The following is a 21142-nucleotide window of genomic DNA, read 5'->3' as shown; positions in this document are numbered from 1 at the left end:
AGAAAAAGAAGAAACCAGGTCTCTCATTTCCTGATTTCAAAACTTAAATACTAGCCTACCACAATGAAAAGAGTGTGGTACTGGCATAAAGACAAACATATAAGGCCGCCTGTAATCTCAACAATTTGGGAGACTGAGGTGAGTGGATTGCTTGAGCCCAGGAGTTCAAAATCAACCTGGGCAACATGGCAAAACCCAGTCTTTACAAAAAATACAATTAGCTAGGCGTGGTAGCCTGCGCCTATAGTCCCAGCTACTGAGGAGGAGGCTGAGGTGGGAGGATCACTCAAGCCTAGGAGGCAGAGGTTGCAGTGAACTGAGATCATGCCAGTGCACTCCAGCCTGGGCAACAGAGTGAGACTCCATCTCAAAAATAAAGAAAGAGAGAAAAAAATAGACACATATATTAGACCAGTGTGAGAGGTGACAGCGTGCTGGTAGTCCTCACAGCCCTCGTTCGCTCTTGGCGCCTCCTCTGCCTGGGCTCCCACTTTGGCGGCATTTGAGGAGCCCTTCAGCCCACCACTGCTCTGTGGGAGCCCCTTTCTGGGCTGGCCAAGGCCGGAGCCAGCTGCCTTAGCTTGCGGGGAGGTGTGGATGGAGAGGCACGAGTGGGAAGCGGGGCTGCGCGCGGCGCTTGCGGGCCAGCTGGAGGTCCGAGTGGGCGTGGGCTTGGCGGGCCCTGCACTAGGAGCCACCAGCCGGCCCTGCCAGCCCCGGGCAATGAGGGGCTTAGTACCCGGGCCAGCAGCTGCGGACGGTGTACTGGGTCCCCCAGCAATGCCAGCCCACGGGCGCTGCTCTCGATTTCTCACGGGGTCTTAGCTGCCCTCCCGCCGGGCAGGGCTCCGGACCTGCAGCCCGCCATGCCTGAGCCTCCCACCCCCTCCATGGGCTCCTGTGAGGCCGGAGTCTCCCCAGGAGCACTGTCCCCCGCTCCTCGGCGCCCAGTCCCATCGACCACCCAAGGGCTGAGGAGTGCAGGTAGACAGCGCGGGACTGGCAGGTAGCTCCACCTGCAGCCCCGGTGCGGGATCCACTGGGTGAAGCCAGCTGGGCTCCTGAGTCTGGTGGGGACGTGGAGAACCTTTATGTCTAGCTCAGGGATTGTAAATACACCAATGGGCACTCTGTATCTAGCTCAAGGTTTGTAAACACACCAATCAGCACCCTGTGTCTAGCTCAGGGTTTGTGAATGCACCAGTCGACACTCTGTATCTAGCTATCTGGTGGGGCCTTGGAGAACCTTTGTGCTGACACTCTGTGTCTAGCTAATCTGGTGGGGAGGTGGAGAACCTTTGTGTCTAGCTCAGGGATTGTAAACGCACCAATCAGCACCCTGTCAAAACAGACCACTCAGCCCTACCAATCAGCAGGATGTGGGTGGGGCCAGATAAGAGAATAAAAGCAGGCTGCCCGCGCCCACAGTGGCAACTGGCTCGGGTCTTGTTACACGCTGTGGAAGCTTTGTTCTTTCGCTCTTTGCGATAAATGTTGCTACTGCTCACTCTTTGGCTCCACGCTGCTTTTATGAGCTGTAACACCGCGAAGGTATGCAACTTCACTTCTGAAGCCAGCGAGACCATGAGCCCACCGGGAGGAATGAACAACTCCAGACGCGCCACCTTAAGAGCTGTAACACTCACCGCGAAGGTCTGCAGCTTCACTCCTGAACCAGGGAGACCACGAACCCACCAGAAAGAAGAAACTCCAAACACATCCGAACGTCAGAAGGAACAAATTCCAGACGCGCCACCTTAAGAGCTGTAACACTCACCGCGAGGGTACGCGGCTTCATTCTTGAAGTCAGTGAGACCAAGAACCCACCAATTCCGGACACAAGTGGAATAGATTAGAGAGCCCAGAAATAAACCTTCTACATGGAAGATTAATTTTTGACAAGGGTTCCAAGACCACTTAATGGGGGAAAGAACAACCTTTTCGATAATAGCAGTGGGACAACTGGATATCCATACACAAAAGAATAGTCCGGGTGTGGTGGTTCACACCTGTAATCCCAGCACATTGGGAGGCCAAGGCAGGCAGATCACCTGAGGTCAGGAGTTCAAGACCAGCCTGGCCAACATGGTGAAACCCCATCTCTACTAAAATACAAAAAAATGAGCTGAGCCTGGTGGCATGCAGCTGTAATCCCAGCTACTTGGGAGACTGAGGCATGAGAATCGCTTGAACCCGGGAGGGGGAGGTTGCCATGAGCTGAGATTGCGCCACTGCACTCCAGCCTGGGTGACACAGCAAGACTCCATCTCAAAAAAAAAAAAAAAAAGTCTTTACAATAGATCAATTTAGGTTTTATATTTCTTTTTTTCTTTTCCTTTTTGAGTTGGAATTTCCCTCTTGTTGCCCAGGCTGGAGTGCAATGGCGCCATCTCAGCTCACTGCAGCCTCAGCCTCCTGGGTTCAAGTGACTCTCCTGCCTCAGCCTCCAGAGTAGCTGGGATTATAGGCACATGCCATCATACCCGGCTAATTTTTGTATTTATTTATTTATTTATTTTTGAGACAGAGTCTCGCCCTGTCACCCAGGCTAGAGTGCAATGGCACAATCTCAGCTTACTGCAACCTCCACCTCCCCGGTTTAAGTGATTCTCCTGCCTCAGCTGGGATTACAGGCGTGCGCCACTTGCCTGGCTAATTTTTTGTATCTTTAGTAGACATGAGGTTTCACCATGTTGGTCAGGCTGGTCTCAAACTCCTGATCTCAGATGATCTACTTGACTCAGCCCCTCAAAGTGCTGGGATTACAGACGTGAGCCACCATGCCTGGCCTAGATTTTATATTTCTTCTTAAGTTTGGTGTTTAAATTCCCCTAGGAATTTGTTCCTTTCATCTAATTTGTTGGCATACAACTGTTCATAGTATTCCCTGATAATTCTTTTACTTATCTAATGTTGGTAGTGATGTCTCCTCTTTTGCTCCTGTTTTGCAGTTTGAGTCTCCTCTGCTTTTTTCTTGGTCAGTCCATCTAAAGGTTCATCAATTTTATGGATTTTTCAAAGAACCAAATTATTTTGGTTTTACTTACTTCCTCTATTTTTTATTCTCTGCTGCATTTATTTCTGCTCATCTTTATTATCTTTTTTTTTTTTTTTTTTTTTTTGAGACGAAGTCTCTTGTCGCCCAGGCTGGAGTGCAATGGTGAGATCTCAGCTCACTGAAAACTACGCCTCCTGGGTTCGAGCGATTCTTGTGCCTCAGCCTCCTGAGTAGCTGGGACCACAGGCATGTGCCACCATGCCTGGCTAATTTTTTTATTTAGCAGAGACAGGCTTTCACCATGTTGGCCAGGATGGTGTCAAACTCCTGGCTTCAAGCTGTCTGCCCGCTTCAGCCTCCCTAAACTGGGATTACAGGTGTGAGTAATCCTCTGCCTCTGGGAGGCAGAAGTTGCAGTGAGCCAAGATCACACCACTGTACTACAGCCTGTGCAACAGAGCGAGACTCCACCTCAAAAAAAAAAAAAAAAAATTAGCCGGACATGGTGGCACATATCTGTAGTTCCAGCTGCTTGGGGGACTGAGGCAGGGGGCTTGCTTGAGCCTAGGAGGTCAAGGCTGCTATAACCCATGTTTATGCCACTGCACTGCAGCCTGGGCAACAAAGTGAGAACCTGTCTCAAAATAAAAATAAAAATAAGTAAATAGGCCAGGCATGGTGGCGCATGCCTGTAATCCCAGCACTTTGAGAGGCTGAGGTGTGAGGATCATGAGGTCAGGAGTTTGAGACCAGCCTGGCCAACATAGTGAAACCCTGTCTCTACCAAAAATACAAAAATTAGCCAGGTGTGGTGGTGGGCACCTGTAGTCCCAGCTACTCGGGAGGCCAAAGCAGGAGAATCGTTTGAACCCGGGAGGCAGAGGTTGCAGTGAGCCGAGATCATGCCATTGCACTCCAGGCTGGGTGACAGAGTGAGACTCCGTCTCAAAAAAAAAAAAAAAAAAAAAAAAAAAAAGGAAATAAATATAGCTTCCTAGGGGATTCTGTTTGCAGAGTGTGTCGAGAATATGAAGCCCAGAATTCAAGACTGCATTATGGACTGTGAAGGCTGAGGAGGGCTGTGAGGAAAGAGTGGGTAGGTTAAAGGAGCAGAAGCAACTGTCATGCCCTTTGGCTCTTCTATAGGAAAAGAGGAAAGAGTGAGCCTTGGGCTGTGTTTTGTGAGGGAATAGTGCCCTCCCTTTGTGGGTAAGCAAAGTTGGCTCGGAAGATGAAGACAGATGAGTCAAGAACGTCAGGGTGTCAGGGGAAGCACAAAAAGAAGGCGAAATATGCCCTTCTACACTCAAACTTGAAGGTATTCAGGGCCTGGTGGCTGGATCTGAGGCCATGCTGAGTCCTGAAGAGGGGACCAAAGTCTTGCTTTGTGAAAACTGTCTAGACTGTCCTAGCAATTCCATTTGTTTTTGACTGTCCTAGCAATTCCGTTTTTTTTTTTTTGACAGCATGTCACTCTTGTCACCCAGGCTGGAGTGCAGTGGCACGATCTCAGCTCATTGCAACCTCCACCTCCTGGGTTCAAATGATTCTCCTGCCTCAGCCTCCCAAGTAGCTGGGATTACAGGCACCTGCCACTGCGCCCAGCTAATTTTTGTATTTTTGGTAGAGACAGGATTTCACCATCTTGGCCAGGCTGCTCTTGAACTACTGACCTTGTGATCCACCCACCTTGGCCTTCCAAAGTGCTGGGATTACAGGCGTGAGCCACTGTGACTGGCTTTTTTTTTTTTTTTTTTTTTTCTGAGACGGAGTCTCGCTCTGTCACCCAGGCTGGAGTGCAGTGGCGCAGTCTCAGCTCACTACAAGCTCTGCCTCCCGGGTTCGCGCCATTCTCCTGCCTCAGCCTCCTGAGTAGCTGGGACTACAGGCGCCCGCCACTGCGCCCAGCTAATTTTTTGTGTTTTTAGTAGAGATGGGGTTTCACTGTGTTAGCCAGGAGGTTCTCGATCTCCTGACCTCATGATCTGCCCGCCTCGGCCTCCCAAAGTGCTGGGATTACAGGCGTGAGCCACTGCGCCCGGCTGCCTTTTTAAATTTAAAAAACTTTTTTTTTTTTTTGAGACAGTCTCTCTCTGTCCCCCAGGCTGGAGTGCAGTGGCGGGAATCTCAGCTCACTGCAACCTCTACCTCCCAGGTTCAAGCAATTCTTCTGCCTCAGCCTCCCAAGTAGCTGGGATTACAGGCACACGGCACCACACCTGGCTAATTTTTGTATTTTTAGTAGAGATAGGTTTTCACCATGTTGGCCAGACTGCTCTCGAACTCCTAACCTCAGGTGATCCTCCTGCCTCGGCCTCCCAAAGTGTGAGTACAGGCGTTAGTCACCACTGCACCTGGCCTCCATTCTCATCTTTTCTGATTGGAGAACTCGGTTCTCCAGAGCACAGAAGTAGCACTTCTTTCCCCTGGTCCCTGGAGAGTAAGGTCTTGTTCACATCTGTGCATGGGGCTCAGATCAGGGCCTGGTGCAGAGAAAGTGCACAATAAATGGGTGTTTAAGTCTGGGCATGGTGCCTCATATCTGTAATCCTAGCACTTTGGGAGGCCAATGTGGGAGGATCACTTGAGCCCAGGAATTCAAGACCAGCCTGGGCAACAAAGCAAGACCCCGATCTCTACCAAAAAATAGAAAAATTAGCCAGGTGTGATGGCACATTCCAGCTACCCGGGAGGCTGAGGTGAGAGGATTGCTTGAGCTGGGAGGCTTCAGTGAGCTGTGCTTGTACCACTGCACACCAGCCTGGGAGACACAGTGAGACCCTGTCTCAAAAAATATAATAAAAGTCTAAAAAATAAATGGGGGCTGGGCGTGGTGGCTCATGCCTGTAATCCCAGCACTCTGGGAGGCCAAGGTGGGCAGATCACCTGAAGTCAGGAGTTCAAGACCAGCCTGGCCAACATAGTGAAACTCTGTCTCTACTAAAAATACAAAAATTAGCTGGGCATGGTGGCGGGTGCCTGTAATCCCAGCTACTCAGGAGGCTGAGGCAGGAGAATTGCTTGAACCCAGGAGACGGAGGTTGCAGTGAGCCAAGATCACGCCACTGCACTCCAGCGTGGGCAACAGAGCAATACTCTGTCTCAAAAATAAATAAACATAGGCCAGGTGCAGTGGCTCATGCCTATAATCCCAGTACTTTCAGAGGCTGAGGCAGAAAAATCACTTGAGGTCAGAAGTTCGAGACCAGCCTGGCCAACATGGTGAACCCTCATCTCTACTAAAAATACAAAAATTAGCCAGGCGTGGTGGTGCATGCCTGTAATCCAGCTACTTGGGAGGCTGAGGCAGAAGAATTGCTTGAACCCAGGAGGCAGAGGTTGCAGTGAGCCAAGATTGTGCCACTGCACTCCAGCTTGGGTGACAAAGTGAGACTTTGTCTCAATTAAAAAAATAATAAGATAGCCAGGCGTGGTGGCTCGCGCCTGTAATCCCAGCACTTTGGGAGGCCAAGGCGGGCGGATCAGCTGAGGTCAGGAGTTCAAGACCAGCCTGGCCAGCATGGCGAAATCCCATCTCTACTAAAAGTACCAAAATTAGCCAGGTGTTGGGGTGGGCGCCTGTAATCCCAGCTACTCAGGAGGAGGAGGCGGCAGAATCACTTGAACCCAGGAGACGGAGGTTGCAGTGAGCTGAGATCACGCCACTACACTCCAGCCTGGGTGACAAGAGCAAGACTCCGTCTCAAAAAAATAAAATAAAATAAATAAATAAAATAAAATAACAAATGGGTGTTTAAATGAATGATGTTCATGGAATCTCTCCCCAGTGCTTTGCTTTCCACAAAGTTCTGCATGGAAGTCTCAATAAATTGTGGTTGAATGCTTGACAGTAACTGTGATGAAAGCAGAATTCACCTTTCATCACCTGGCCAGCAAATGTTTTGTTGTCTTATTATTATTATTATTATTTTTTGAGATGGAGTCTTGCTCTGTCGCCCAGGCTGGAGTGCAGTGGCGTGATCTCGGCTCACTGCAAGCTCCGCCTCCTGGGTTCACGCCATTCTCCTGCCTCAGCCTCCCAAGTAGCTGGGACTACAGGTGCCCGCCACCATGCCCGGCTAATTTTTTTTTGTATTTTTAGTAGAGATGGGGTTTCACCATGTTAGCCAGGATGGTCTCGATCTCCTGACCTTGTGATCCGCCCACCTCGGCCTCCCAAAGTGCTGGGATTACAGGCTTGAGCCACCGCGCCCGGCCTGCTTGTCTTATATAGTATTGACCAGTAAAATGTTTTTTTTTTTTTGAGCCAGAGTCTCACTCTGTCACCAGGCTGGAGTGCAGTGGCGTGATCTCGGCTCACTGCAATCTCCACCTCCTGGGTTCAAGCGATTCTTCTGCCTCAGCCTCCTGAGTAACTGGGACCACAGGCTCCCACCACCATGCCCAGGTAATTTTTGTATTTTTAGTAGAGACAGGGTTTCTTTTTCTTTCTTTCTTTTTTTTTTTTTTTGGAGACGGAGTCTCGCTCTTTCACCCAGGCTGGAGCTCAGTGGCATGATCTCGGCTCACTGCAACCTCCACCTCCCAGGTTCATGCCATTCTCCTGCCTCAGCCTCCTGAGTAGCTGGGACTACAGGTGCCCGCCACCACACCCGGCTAATTTTTTGTATTTTTAGTAGAGATGGGGTTTCACCATGTTAGCCAGGATGGTCTCGATCTCCTGACCTTGTGATCCACCCACCTCGGCCTCCCAAAGTGCTGGGATTACAGGCTTGAGCCACCGCACCCGGCCTGTAGAGACAGGGTTTCACCATGTTGACCAGTATGGTCTCGATCTCCTGACCTCAGGTGATCCACCTGCCTCGGCCTCCCAAAGTGCTGGGATTACAGGAGTGAGCCACCGGGCCTGGCCAAGATGTCTTTCAAATAATTAAAGCCACATCTTTTTGTAGTTCATAAACGTGATGACTGTGTTTTCATGCTCATGCGTGAGTTGCACCTCCCTCAAACCTTGTTTTGACATTGACACATTATCTGCCTGATGTAAAAATAATGAAATCCAATATACTAAGATCAGGAGATTTCACAATAAAATCCCAATTTCTGTTTCTTTTAAAAAATCAGGCCAGCCATGATGGCTTATGCCTGGAATTCCAGCACTTTGGGAGGCCCAGGCAGAAGGATCACTTGATCCTGGAAGTTCAAGATCAGCATGGTTAACACAGGGAGACCTGGTCTCAATTTAAAAATTAGCTGGGCATGGCACTTTGGGAGACTGAGGCAGGTGGATCACCCGAGATCAGAAGTTTGAGACCAGCTTGGCCAATATGGTGAAACCTCATCTCTGTATTAAAAAAAAAAAAAAAATTAGCCAGTTGTGGTAATGAGCGCCTGTAATCCCAGCTACTCGAGAGGCTGAGGCAGGGGAATCACTGGAACCTGGGAAGTGGAGGTTGCAGTGAGCCAAGATCTCGCCATTGCATTTGAGCCTGGGTAACAGAGTGAGACTCTGTCTCAAAACAAACAAACAAACAAACAAAAACATTAGCCATAGCCCCAGTTATCTGGAGGCTGAGATGGAGGCTGAGAACCCACGAGTTCGTTCAAGGCTGCAGTGAGCTATCATTGCACTCCAGCCAGGATGACAGAGCAAGACCCTGTCTCAAAATAAAATAAATACTTTGGGAGGCCAAAGTGGGCAGATCACCTGAGGTCAGGAGTTCGAGACCAGCCAGGTCAACATGGCGAAACCCATCTCTACTAATAAAATACAAAAATTAGCCAGGCATGGTGGTGTGTGCCTATAATCCCAGCTACCCAGGAGGCTGAGGCAGGAGAATCACTTGATCCCAGGAGGCAGAGGTTGCAGTAAGCCGAGATTGTGCCACTGCACTCCAGCCTGGGCAACAAGAGCAAAACCCCATCTCAAATAAATAAATAAATAGAAATAAATAAATAAAATGGTTACTTTATGTTATTTCACCTCAATAATTTTAAGTAAAATAAAATTAGATAACTGATAGCCAGGCATGGTGGTGGATGCCTGTAATCCCAGCTACTCAGGAGGCTGAGGCAGGAGAATCGCTTGAATCCGAGGCAGAGGCTGCAGTGAGCCAAGATCACGCCACTGCACTCCAGCCTGGGTGACAGAGCAAGACTCCGTCTCAAAAAAAAAAATTTAGATAACTGATTAGAAGGTACTGAAGTTTGCCATCCTTTGGAAACGATCCTCTTCATTAGAAAGATGAGGATCCTGAGGCCCTACAAGGGAAGTGTCAGGTCAGTGGAAGAGACTGAAAGGGAAGTTTGGTTCCCACCCCGGCAGCACAGTCGCTGCCTCCTCTCCCCTTTACTTAGGCTATGAACTCTGGTGTGATACAGACCACAACCCGTTCACCATAGGTTACACCCCACATCTTTTGGCTCGGACCCTGGCACTTGAACTGTCAGCCTCCAAGTAGCTGGGACAATAGGCCAGCTCAACAAATGCCCCCTGCTCATTAAAATTTTTTTTTTGTAGAGTTGGGGTCTTGTTATGTTGCCCAGGGTGGTCTCAAATTCCTGATCTCAAGCAATTCTCGCCTTGGCCTCCCAAAGTGCTGAGATTACAGGCATGAGCCACTGTACACAGTCTTGATGTATTACCTTTTATTTTTTAAAAAATTTTTATAAAGACGGGTGTCACCATGTTGTCCATGCTGGTCTCAAACTCCTGGGCTCAGGCAATCCTCCCGACTTGGCCTCCCAAAGTGCTGGGATTACTGGTGTGAGCCGTGCCTGGCTTGCTTTTTTTGTTTTTGTTTTTGAGATGGAGTCTCACTGTTGCTCAGGCTGGAGTGCAGTGGCGCAATCTCGGCTCACTACAACCTCCGCCTCCTGAGTTCAAAGGATTCTCCCGTCTCAGCCTCCCGAGTAGCTGGGATTACAGGTGTGTGCCACCACACCTGGCTTATTTTTGTATTTTTAGTAGAGATGGGGTTTCACCATGTTGGCCAGGATGGTCTTGATCTCCTGACCTCATGATCCACCTGCCTACGTCTGGCTTTTTTAATTAAAAAAAAATTTTTTTAAGTACTTTTTTTCTTTTGAGATGGAGTCTCACTCTGTCACCCAGGCTGGAGTGCAATGGCACAATCGTGGCTCACTGCAACCTCCACCTCTTGGGTTCAAGCAATTCTCCTGTCTTAGCCTCCCAAGTAGCTTGGACTACAGTCATGCACCACTATGCCTGGCTAATTCTTGTATTTTTAGTAGAGATGGGGTTCCACCATGTTGGTCAGGCTGGTCTCGAACTCCTGATTTTGTGATCCACCTGCCTCAGCCTCCCAAAGTGCTGGGATTACAGGCATGAGCCACCATGCCCAGCCTAAAGTACTTTTCATTAGAGACAGTACTTTATTCAAACTGCTTCTCTTCTCGTGCTTTTGTGTCTTGAGACAGTCTGTCTGTCACCCAGGTTGGAATGCAGTGGTGTGATGACAGCTCACTGAAGCCTCGACCTTCCAGGCTCAGGTGATCCTCCCACCTCAGTCTTCTGAGTTGCTGGGACTATAGTTGTGTGCCACCATGCCTGGTGGATGTATGACTGTTTATGTAGGAACGTCTGTTAATTGTAAATTTCCTCCAAAACCACCCTGTTGTTGCAGAAATGACAGGCTGTGAGCACTGTAGCCACCTATACATTCCTTCCAGAGCACTATGCTTTTGCTCCAAGACATAAGCGGTAGGTCTTGGGGCTGTGGTGTGGAGATCTGTCATGGCGCAGCCCAAGACCATGCTTTTGTGTGTAAGTTCCTTAATAAATCACCCAAAACTGACAAACTGGATTTGTCTGCTTCCTTTTTTTTTTTGGCTCCTTTGGCATGAGGGTCACTTGGCATATACGGCCCTTTCACGGAATGCACAGCAACTCCAACAAAGAGAGATGATCTTTCACAGATGAAGCCGCTGAGGCTTAGAGAAGCGAGATTGTCCCAAGGGTGGCAGCTTCTAAGGGAAGGGCTGGAATGTGAACCCAGGCATCTTGACTTGAGCCTTGTCCTTTTGGCCCCTATGCCCTCCCACCTTCCAACCCAGGGGATTAGCTAAAATTTAGGAAAGCAGTTCATGTTATTTAAAGGGAGGGGAGGCCGGGCATGGTGGCTCATGCCTGTAATCCCAGCACTTTGGGACGCTGAGGCGGGCAGATCACTTGAGGCCAGGAGTTCAAGACCAGTCTGGCCAACATGGTGAAAACCCATCTGTACTAAAAATATGAAAATTAGCCGGGTGTGGTGGCGAGTGTCTGTAGTCCCAGCTACTCGGGAGGCTGAGATTGCAGTGAGCTGAGATTGCACCACTGAACTCCAACCTGGGTGACAGGGCAAGACTCTGTCTATAAAATAAATAAATTATAAAATAAATAAAATTTCAGAAAGCAGCTCACTTTATGTAAAGGGACAGGAAACAGCAACAGATGACATAGATATAGGATGATTCCAGTCTAGTAATAAATATACACACACCAGAAAGAGAGGCATTAAAATGTTAACGGTAGTTAACAGCCTGGGCGACAGAGCGGAGACCCTGTCTCAAAAAAAAAAAAAAAAAGTTAAGAAAAGGAGTGACAATCCACGTGTGGCCCACAAAGCTTAAAATATATACTATCTAGCCCTGGGCAGAAAAGGGTTTGACAATGCTGTTCAAAGGTCACCATTGGTAGATTGGAAACTGAAAAAGGTATATACCCTGGCATTGGACAACACAATGGCTGTGCCTCCTGCCTAAGAATGCTGAACTGGCCAAGTGAGGTACTTGGCAGCCCAGCCCTGAAATGCATAAGCTCTCCAGCCTTTTCATCACTGCTCCTCCCTGGTTCTTAACCTCTGGCCACTCGATCCTCTGGCTTCCCTTCCACCAAGCACTCGCACGTTGAGTCCAGTCCCTAGGCCTCTCCTCTAGGCTGCCCCCTCTGGAAATGTAAGCAGCACCAGGTATAAGAGCCAGGCACAGGCTGCCTTGACGTGCACCTAGCCCCCTTACTTCCCCATTGTGTGGAAGGTAAATCACTTCTCTTTGGGTCTGTTTTCCCATCTACAAGTTGGGAATGACAATAGGGTTATTCTGAGATTAAGTGAGATAAGGCAGCTAAAGCACGCAGTATGGAAGTGGTCAACATGCTGGCTCTGATGTCAGCCACGACCAGACTTCGGGTAACTATTTATAAGTCATTCCCTTCAAAACCTTTCTCTCTGTTCTTTCTCTTCTGTGACAGACTAATACTTGTGCCCCTTCCCTTCATTTAGAAACAAAATGACCCAAGTTTAAATGAACATGTAACTATCCAGCTAGAGGCATTTTAGTCTCGCATATAGGGTGGTAAGAAGGTGAGACTAAGTTCTGGCCAATGGGATCAGTGTAATTTCCAGGCCCTGTATTTCCGCTTCCTTTTACATGGGCTTGAACGAGGACTTGGGGCTGGTGAGCCGCTTTAACCACACAGATGACAACCTTGGGGATGCAAGAGCAACATGACAGCGCAGCCCTGGGTCCCTAGATGATTTTGCATAACGGTTGTTGTCTAACCCTAACCCTGGACCAATCACCTCTGAACTGTCACATGAGAAATAAGCTATTTTGCTGAGTCACTGTTTGGGGCTCCTTGTGACAGAAGCTGAGTCTAGAATCTAGTTAGTGCACATCAGAAGGCTTCTCTTCAACTTCAGTATCAGTCCGCCCTCCATATGTGCTGTTCTTGTACTTCTGAACACAAAGAATATTCCAGCTATTTCTTGAAAACAGTCATATTTGTTTATCCTCCAGTCAGGAGAATGTGTCATTCTTGACTCCTTCAACTCCCGAATCCACTGGTCACAGTAGCTTCAGTTTTTTACATCTGCACCTCTTCAATCCTCCCCCCACCTCTGACCCCAGGCACCCTGACTTCAGATGGTTTTTTTTTTTTTTTTGGGCTTCATGCTCTTTGCTTCCAATTTCATAGTCTTACACAATGATGCTTCATTCTCTTAAAATGGAATCCATTCATGTTATTTTGTTACCTTTTTTTAGAGACAGGGTCTTGCTCTATTCCCCAGGCTGGAGTGCAGTGGTATAATCACAGCTCACTGTACCCTTTACTTAAATAGACCTTAAGTTCCTGGGCTCAAGTGATCCTCCTGCCTCAGTCTCCCCAGCAGCTTGGACTACTGGCACACACAACCATGTCCGGCTAAATTTTAATTTTTTGTCCTCTCCCTCCCCCTCCCCCTTCCTCTCTCACTTTCCACAGTCTCCCTCTGATGCCGAGCCGAGGCTGGACTGTACTGCCACCATCTCGGCTCACTGCAACCTCCCTGCCTCATTCTCCTGCCTCAGCCTGCCAAGTGCCTGGGATTGCAGGCACGCGCCGTCTGTGTTTTTTGGTGGAGACGGGGTTTCGCCGTGTTGGCCGGGCTGGTCTCCAGCTCCTGACCGCTAGTGATCCGCCAGCCTCGGCCTCCCGAGGTGCTGGGATTGCAGACGGAGTCTCGTTCACTCAGTGCTCAATGGTGCCCAGGCTGGAGTGCAGTGGCATGATCTCGGCTCGCTACAACCTCCACCTCTCAACCGCCTGCCTTGGCCTCCCAAAGTGCCGAGATTGCAGCCTCTGCCCGGCCGCCACCCCGTCTGGGAAGTGAGGAGCGTCTCTGCCTGGCCGCCCATCATCTGGGATGTGAGGAGCCCCTCTGCCTGGCTGCCCAGTCTGGAAAGTGAGGAGCCTCTCTGCCCGGCCGCCATCCCATCTAGGAAGTGAGGAGCGCCTCTTCCCGGCCGCCATCCCATCTGGTAGGTGAGGAGTGTCTCTGCCAGGCTGCCCATCGTCTGAGATGTGGGGAGTGCCTCTGCCCGGCCGCGACCCCGTCTGGGAGGTGAGGAGCGTCTGAGAAGTGAGGAGACCCTCTGCCTGGCGACCGCCCCGTCTGAGAAGTGAGGAGCCCCTCCGCCCGGCAGCCGCCTCGTCTGAGAAGTGAGGAGCCCCTCCGCCCGGCAGCCACCCCGTCTGGGAAGTGAAGAGTGTCTCCGCCCGGCAGCCACCCCGTCCGGGAGGGAGGTGGGGGTCAGCCCCCCCGCCCGGCCAGCCGCCCCGTCCGGGAGGGAGGTGGGGGAGTCAGCCCCCCCGCCCGGCCAGCCGCCCCACCCGGGAGGGAGGTGGGGGGATCAGTCCCCCGCCCAACCAGCCGCCCCACCCGGGAGGGAGGTGGGGGGGTCAGCCCCCAACCCGGCCAGCCGCCCTGTCCGGGAGGTGAGGGGTGACTCTGCCCGGCCACCCCTACTGGGAAGTGAGGAGCCCCTCTGCCCGGCCGCCACCCCGGCTGGGAGGTGTGCCCAACAGCTCATTGAGAACGGGCCATGATGACAGTGGCGGTTTTGTGGAATAGAAAGGGGGGAAAGGTGGGGAAAAGATTGAGAAATCGGATGGTTGCCGTGTCTGTGTAGAAGGAAGTAGACATGGGAGACTTTTCATTTTGTTCTGTAGTAAGAAAAATTCTTCTGCCTTGGGATCCTGTTGATCTGTGACCTTACCCCAACCCTGTGCTCTCTGAAACATGTGCTGTGTCCACTCAGGGTTAAACGGATTAAGGGTGGTGCAAGATGTGCTTTGTTAAACAGATGCTTGAAGGCAGCATGCTCGTTAAGAGTCATCACCACTCCCTAATCTCAAGTACCCAGGGACACAAACACTGCGGAAGGCCGCAGGGTCCTCTGCCTAGGAAAACCAGAGACCTTTGTTCACTTGTTTATCTGCTGACCTTCCCTCCGCTATTGTCCTATGACCCTGCCAAATCCACCTCTGCGAGAAACACCCAAGAATGATCAATAAAAAAAAAAAAAAAAAAAAAAAAAAAACATGGTTTCTCCATGTTGGTCAGGCTGGTCTGGAACTCCTGACTTCAGGTGATCTGCCCACCTTGGCCTCCCAAAGTGCTGGGATTACAGGCATGAGCCACTGTGCCTGGCCCCAAATGTGTTTTACATTTTCTTCCTATTTGATTCATCTTTGTCCTGCAACATAAATATGCTACTTTTCCACCGATAAAAAGACAAAATGGAATTTAAATCTGGCCTGGACTTCTCAAAAAAGTCAGTGTGATGAAAACATGTTCTAGATAAAACAGAAATGAGACTGGGCATGGTGGCTCATGCCTGAAATCCCAGCGCCTTCGGAGGCCAAGGCAGGAGAATCACTTGAGGCCAGGAGTTTGTGAACAGCCTGGGCAACATAGTGAGACCCCAGATCTACTAAAAATTTAAAAATTAGCTGGGCATGGTGGTGCATGCCCATATGTCTGGAGGCTGAGGCAGGAGGATCGCTTGAGCCCAGGATTTGGAGGCTGCAGTGAGCTATGATTGTGCCACTGCACTCCAGTGTGGGTGACAGAGTGAGACCCTGTCTCTAAAAAAAAAAAGAGAGACGAGATGATCAGGATGAGCGCAGTGGCTCACGCCTATAATCCCAGCACTTTGGGAGGCCAAACCAGGTGGATCATATGAGGTCAGGAGTTCAAGACCAGCCTGGCCTAGATGGTGAAACCCCGTTTCTACTAAAAATACAAAAATCAGCTGGGTGTGGTGGCGCACACCTGTGATCCCAGCTACTCGGGAGGCTGAGGCGGGACAATTGCTTGAACCTGGGAGGCAGAAGTTGCTGTGAGCAAGATTACACCACTGTGCTCCAGCCTGGGCAACAGGAATGAGACTCTGTCTCAAAAAAAAAAAAAAGGGGGAAGATCAAACACAATGCATCAACCTCCCGGAGCCATATAAACCCTAACCCTAACCCAGGAAGCAGGCAAGCCTGTGTGTGAGTTTCCACTCTATTGCTGGTACCACTCGGCTCTGGCAACCCGGAAGGCCACCTTCCCCTGTTGTTACTGTGTAAGGAGGAAGGAGCACTGCTTTGCAAGTCAGAAGCCTGGGTTGAAGCCTCTGCTTGGGTTCCTGCTGGCTGTGGGAATGTGGGGTTACCTTTCCCAGCTGGCCTCGTTTCCTTCATGTCCAATGCAGGGGTTCCAGTCACATGCGTTGGGCACCATTACATGTCCAAGCTGTGCCAGGATCTAGAAAAATGGCTGGACTCAGGCCAAGGGGCCTTCCTGTCTGGCAGTGAAAATAAGAGGAGATACCAAGGGCCCTGAGTCTGGAGGGGAAGTCATGAGCACAGGGCAGTGCCAGGGCCCGGGAGCTGCCACAGAGGAGCCCATCTTGGTGACAGACACCTGTAGGCACATCCGTGATGCCCAGTGCCCAACACAGGGAACTGGACAAACGTTTCATGCACGACTCTTTTTTCCCTTCTTGGCTACCTTGAGGACCTTGATTATAATAGTTATCCTTTTTTTCTTTTTCTTTTTTTGAGACTCTTGCTCTGTCGTCCAGGTTGGAATGCAGTGGCAAAATCTTGGCTCACTGCAATCTTCACCTCTCAGGTTCAAGTGACTCTCCTTCCTCAGCCTCCCTAGTAGCTGGGATTACCGGTGTGCACCACTAGGCTCAGCTAATTTTTGTATTTTTACTACAGATGGGGTTTCACCATGTTGGCCAGGCTGATCTTGAACTGCTGACCTCAGGTGATCTGCCCACCTGGGCCTCCCAAAGTCTTGGGATTACAGGTGTGAGCCACTGAGCCCAGCCGGATTATAATAGCCTTTTCATGCACCAGGGGCTTTATACTCATTATCTCATTTCATTCATATGAGTTGAAATCAGCTTATCCCCCATTTCACAGATGAGGAAACCAAGGCCCAGAGAGGTTAGGAATTCATCCAAGGTCACACAGCTAGGAAGTAGGATTCAAACCCAGACAGCCAGGCTGTAACACCTAGGCTCTTCTCAGGCTCATGCCCTTCCCAGGGGTCTGGGAAGCCCTGACCTGCAGCCTGTCACCTTTGTTTACCCCCCAGCCTCCAGGATATTATGTGTGCACCGGCGTGGGATCCTGGAACTGGCAGGAATTGTGGGTTGTGTTGGTCCCTAGACTCCCATCACCTATACGAAATATGGTTCCTTTTGTGGCTTGGGAGGCCATGGCCAGCCCTGCGATGCCATTGACTGGTGAGTGCATGCCTGGGACCAGGCTACAAAATCCCTCACACTCTGGGGTAGTCAAGGCTTATGAGGAAGTACCCAAAACTGAAGCTGGGATTTGGTCCAGGGAGATCCCAGTGTGCAGTACTACTTTGCAGGCAGGCAGAGGCCTCTTGGATAACATGGCCAGTGAAGCCAGATCTTGGTACCAGCTGCCCCTTACCCTGGCCATGGGCTGAAAACGTTGCCTTAAAAAATTGGCCAGGAGCGGTGGCTAACTCCTGTAATCCCAGCACTTTGGGAGGCCGAGGCGGGCAGATCACTTGAGGTCAGGAGTTCAAGACCAGCCTGGCCAATATGGTGAAACCCCATCTCTACTAAAAATGCAAAAATTAGCTGTGTGTGGTGGCAGGCGTCTGTAATCTCAGCTACTCGGGAGACTGAGGCAGGAGAATTGCTTGAACCCGGGAGGTGGAGTTTGCAGTGAGTTGAGATTGCACCGCTGTATTCCAACCTGGACAACAGTGCCAAACCCTGTCTCAAAAGAAAAAAATAATAATAATATAAAGTGGCCAGGTGTGTTGACTCATGCCTGTAATCCCACCACTTTGGGTCGAGGCAGGAGGATCACTGGAGCCCAGGAGTTTGAAACGAACCTAGGCAACAGAGTGAGACCCTGTCTCTATATTAAACACAAACACACACACACACACACACACACACACACACACACACACACACACACACACACACACACAAAGGCAGCCAGACTATGCACTAGGAACTGCCCTGGGAATCCCTTTGTGTTCTCACAACAATCCCATTTCACAGATGAAGAAACCTAGGCACAGAAATATTCAGTAACGTGTCCAGGTGCGGTGGCTCACGCCTGTAATCCCAGTACTTTGGGAGGCTGAGGCAGGCAGATCATGAGGTCAGGAGTTCGAGACCATCCTGGCCAACATGGTGAAACCCCGTCTCTACTAAAAATACAAAAATTAGCTGTGTGTGGTGGCAGGTGCCTGTAATTCCAGCTACTCAGGAAGCTGAGGCAGGAGAATTGCTTGAACCCGGGAGGCAGAGGTTGCAATGAACCGAGATCACACCACTGCACTCCAACCTGGGTGACAGAGCAAAACTCCTTCTGAAAAAAAAAAAAAAAAAAAGAAATATTAAGTAACTTGTCTGAGGCCACTTAGTTACCAAGAAGTGGGAGCTGGGACTTGAACCCAGGCAGTCTGGCTGGATTCATGCCTGCAGCCTCTGCACTCCTGCTACTTACTGTGTGAGAAGCGCCTGTTCTGTGGAAGGTTGTGGGCTGAGATCTTTCCATGAGTTCCACTCATTTACCCCCAAGGCTGTTCTTAAAGACGGGCATGACAGTTATGCCCATTTTACAGATGGGGCCCTGAGGCTCACAGGGGCATGCCACTCACCCATTTCCACAAAGCTATAGTTAGTTAGCAGAGGGCAGAATTCGGCCGCCTCTCCCCTAGCTTGAAGGCTGTGATTGACACAGAGGTTTTTTTGTTGTTGCTGTTGTTTGTTCCTTTTTCTTTTTTTTGAGACAGGGTCTTGCTCTGTCATCCCGGCTGGAGTGCAGTGGTGCGATCTCAGCTCACTGCAAACTCTGCCTCCAAGATGCAAATGATTCTCGTGCCTCAGCCTCCCAAGTAGCTGGAATTACAGGTGTGCACTACCACGCCCAGCTGTTTTTTGTAGAGATGGGGTTAGTAGAGATTTGTTTTATAGAGACGGGGTTTCACCATGGTCTCTACTAAACCCTGTCTCTACTAAAAATACAAAAATTACCCAGGCGTGGTGGCACATGCCTGTAGTCCCAGCTACTCAAGAGGCTGAGGCAGGAGAACCACTTCAACCTGGGAGGTGGAGGTTGCAGTGACCCCAAATCATGCACTCTAGCCTGGGGTCTCGCTTTTGCCCAGGTTAGAGTGCAGTGGCACAATCATAGTGGCTCACTGCAGCCTCAAACTCCTGGGCTGAAGGGAATCCTCTCATGTCAGCCTCCCAAGTAGCTAGGACTATAGGCATGTGCCATCATGGCGAGTTAATTTTTTGTGTGTTTTTATTGTCTTGAGACAGAGTCTTGCTCTGTTGCTCAGGCTGGACTGCAGTGGCATGATCTTGGCTCACCGCAACCTCCACCTCCTGGGTTCAAGCAATTCTCCTACCTCAGCCTCCCGAGTAACTGGGATTACAGGTGCGTGCCACCATGCCTGGCTAATTTTGTATTTTTAGTAGAGACAGGGTTTCGCCATGTTGGTCAGGCTGCCCTCGAACTCCTGACCTCGTGATCCACCTGCCTCGGCCTCTCAAAGTGTTGGGATTACAGGCATGAGCCACTGAGCCTGGCCTGGTGAGCTAATTTTTAAATTTGTTATAGAGACAAGAGTCTCTCTTATGTTGCCCAGGCTGGTCTCGACCCCCTGGCCTCAAGTGATCCTCCCACCTCAGCCTCCCAAAGTGCTGGGATTACAGATGCGTGTCACCGCACCTGGCCTCTGAGGAGGATTTCATTATAAACCTGCCCTGAAGGGAGGGAATCCAATTTTACGAGAGGTTGTAGCCTGGTGAGGCCTGGATGACCTCCGGAGGCAGGGGCTTGTGCCTGGGCTGAGGCCTAAGGGACAATGGGCAGACATGAAGTTGCCCCAGGCAGAGGGTACAGTGTGGGCAAAGTCAGGAAGTGGCAGGGCTTGGATCACTCCAGGAAGAGAGAGGAGTCATGTGTCACAGGAGCTCGAGACCCAGAGAGTGAGGCAGGCAGGCAGGGACCAAGCTTGGGCACAGCCAGGAAGGCAGGACAGGGCATGGTGGGGCCAATGGAATCATTATCGAAGTCGGGGATTTTCAGGGAAACAGCTTAGATAAGGCCAGGCATACAGTAGCTCCCACCTGTAATCCCAGCATTTGGAGAGGCTGAGGTAGGAGGACTGCTTGAGCCTGGGAGTTCAAGACCAGCCTAGGCAACATAGACCCCATATCCACAAAAAATTTAAAAAAGGAGTTTGTGTTCCTGTAGTAGCATACTTGGGAAGTTGAGGTGGCAGTATCACTTGAGCCCGGGAGTTCAAGGCTAAAGTGAGCTGATGGAGCCATTGCACCCCAGCCTGAGCAACAGAGAGATACGCTGTCTCAAAGGAAATACAAATTAAAAAACCAGCCGGGCATGCTGGCGTGTGCCTGTAGTCTCAGCTACTTGGGACACTGAAGTAGGAGGATCGCTTGAGCCCAGGAGTTCAAGGCTGCCGTGAGCTATGATTGTGCCTCTGCAGTCCAGCCTGGGCGACAGAGAAAGACCCTGTCTCTTAAAAAAAAAAAAAACAAAAAAAAACAAAAAAAACTTAGATAAGAGGATGCTGTGCCTCCCTGGGGGTCTTCAGTCACCCATGGTCCTGGCAAGAGAGGAGGGCCAGGAGAGAGCTTCACCCACCTGCTGTCCTGCCCATGTGACATCCGCAGGTGCTGCCATGGCCACGACTGTTGTTACACTCGAGCTGAGGAGGCCGGCTGCAGCCCCAAGACAGAGCGCTACTCCTGGCAGTGCGTCAATCAGAGCGTCCTGTGCGATGAGTCCCCAGCAGCACCATGCCACCCACCCCGAGTATCCCCTGGGCACCCTGGCATAGCCAGATGACTTCCGTGCCCCTGTTGCAATAACCACTGCTTCCAACTCTCTATAGAACACCCCTTGGGTATATCTAATGTAAGTGATATTTATTTTATTTATTTTTTGAGTCAGAGTCTCGCTCTGTCACCCAGGCTAGAGTGTGCTGATGTGATCTTGGCTCACTACAACCTCTGCCTCCTGGGTTCAAGCGATTCTCATGCCTCAGCCTCCCAAGTGGCTGGGACTACAGGCATGCACCATCACGCCCAGCTAATTTTTGTATGTTTTTCAGTAGAGGTGGGGTTTCACCAAGTTGGCCGGGCTGGTCTCAAACTCCCCACCTCAAGTGCTCTGCCCGCCTCGGCCTCCCAAAGTGCTGGGATTACAGGCATGAGTCGTGGTGTCTGGCCCTAATGTGAGTGATCTTTAACAATGAGGACTTGAAAAAGAAAACCCTGAAGAAACCTAATTCTTTGATGTCTGGACGACAAGGAAGAAGATAGAAATGG

General features: G+C 50.3%; 1 non-coding gene and 1 pseudogene across 1 annotated transcript, besides 1 other annotated feature; both read left to right on the top strand.

Moving 5' to 3' along the window:
• Nucleotides 1-7899: 7899 nt before the first annotated feature.
• Nucleotides 7900-8003, top strand: LOC124903792 (small nucleolar RNA U13). The gene has a single exon (XR_007065237.1). It is a non-coding gene; the product is annotated as a small nucleolar RNA U13 (small nucleolar RNA).
• Nucleotides 13106-13745: an enhancer, noted in NCBI's record as "H3K27ac hESC enhancer chr16:28791989-28792628 (GRCh37/hg19 assembly coordinates)". NCBI's record gives its function as "activates a minimal SCP1, AML or CMV promoter by ChIP-STARR-seq in naive H9 embryonic stem cells {active_cell/tissue: H9 hESC(naive)}" and the evidence as "EXISTENCE:reporter gene assay evidence [ECO:0000049][PMID:30033119]".
• Nucleotides 16879-20589, top strand: PLA2G10KP (phospholipase A2 group XK, pseudogene; annotated as a pseudogene).

Source organism: Homo sapiens, chromosome 16, assembly GCF_000001405.40.
Source record: "Homo sapiens chromosome 16, GRCh38.p14 Primary Assembly".
NCBI classification, from domain to species: Eukaryota; Metazoa; Chordata; class Mammalia; order Primates; family Hominidae; genus Homo; species Homo sapiens.
This window is presented reverse-complemented; position numbering and strand designations above follow the sequence as displayed.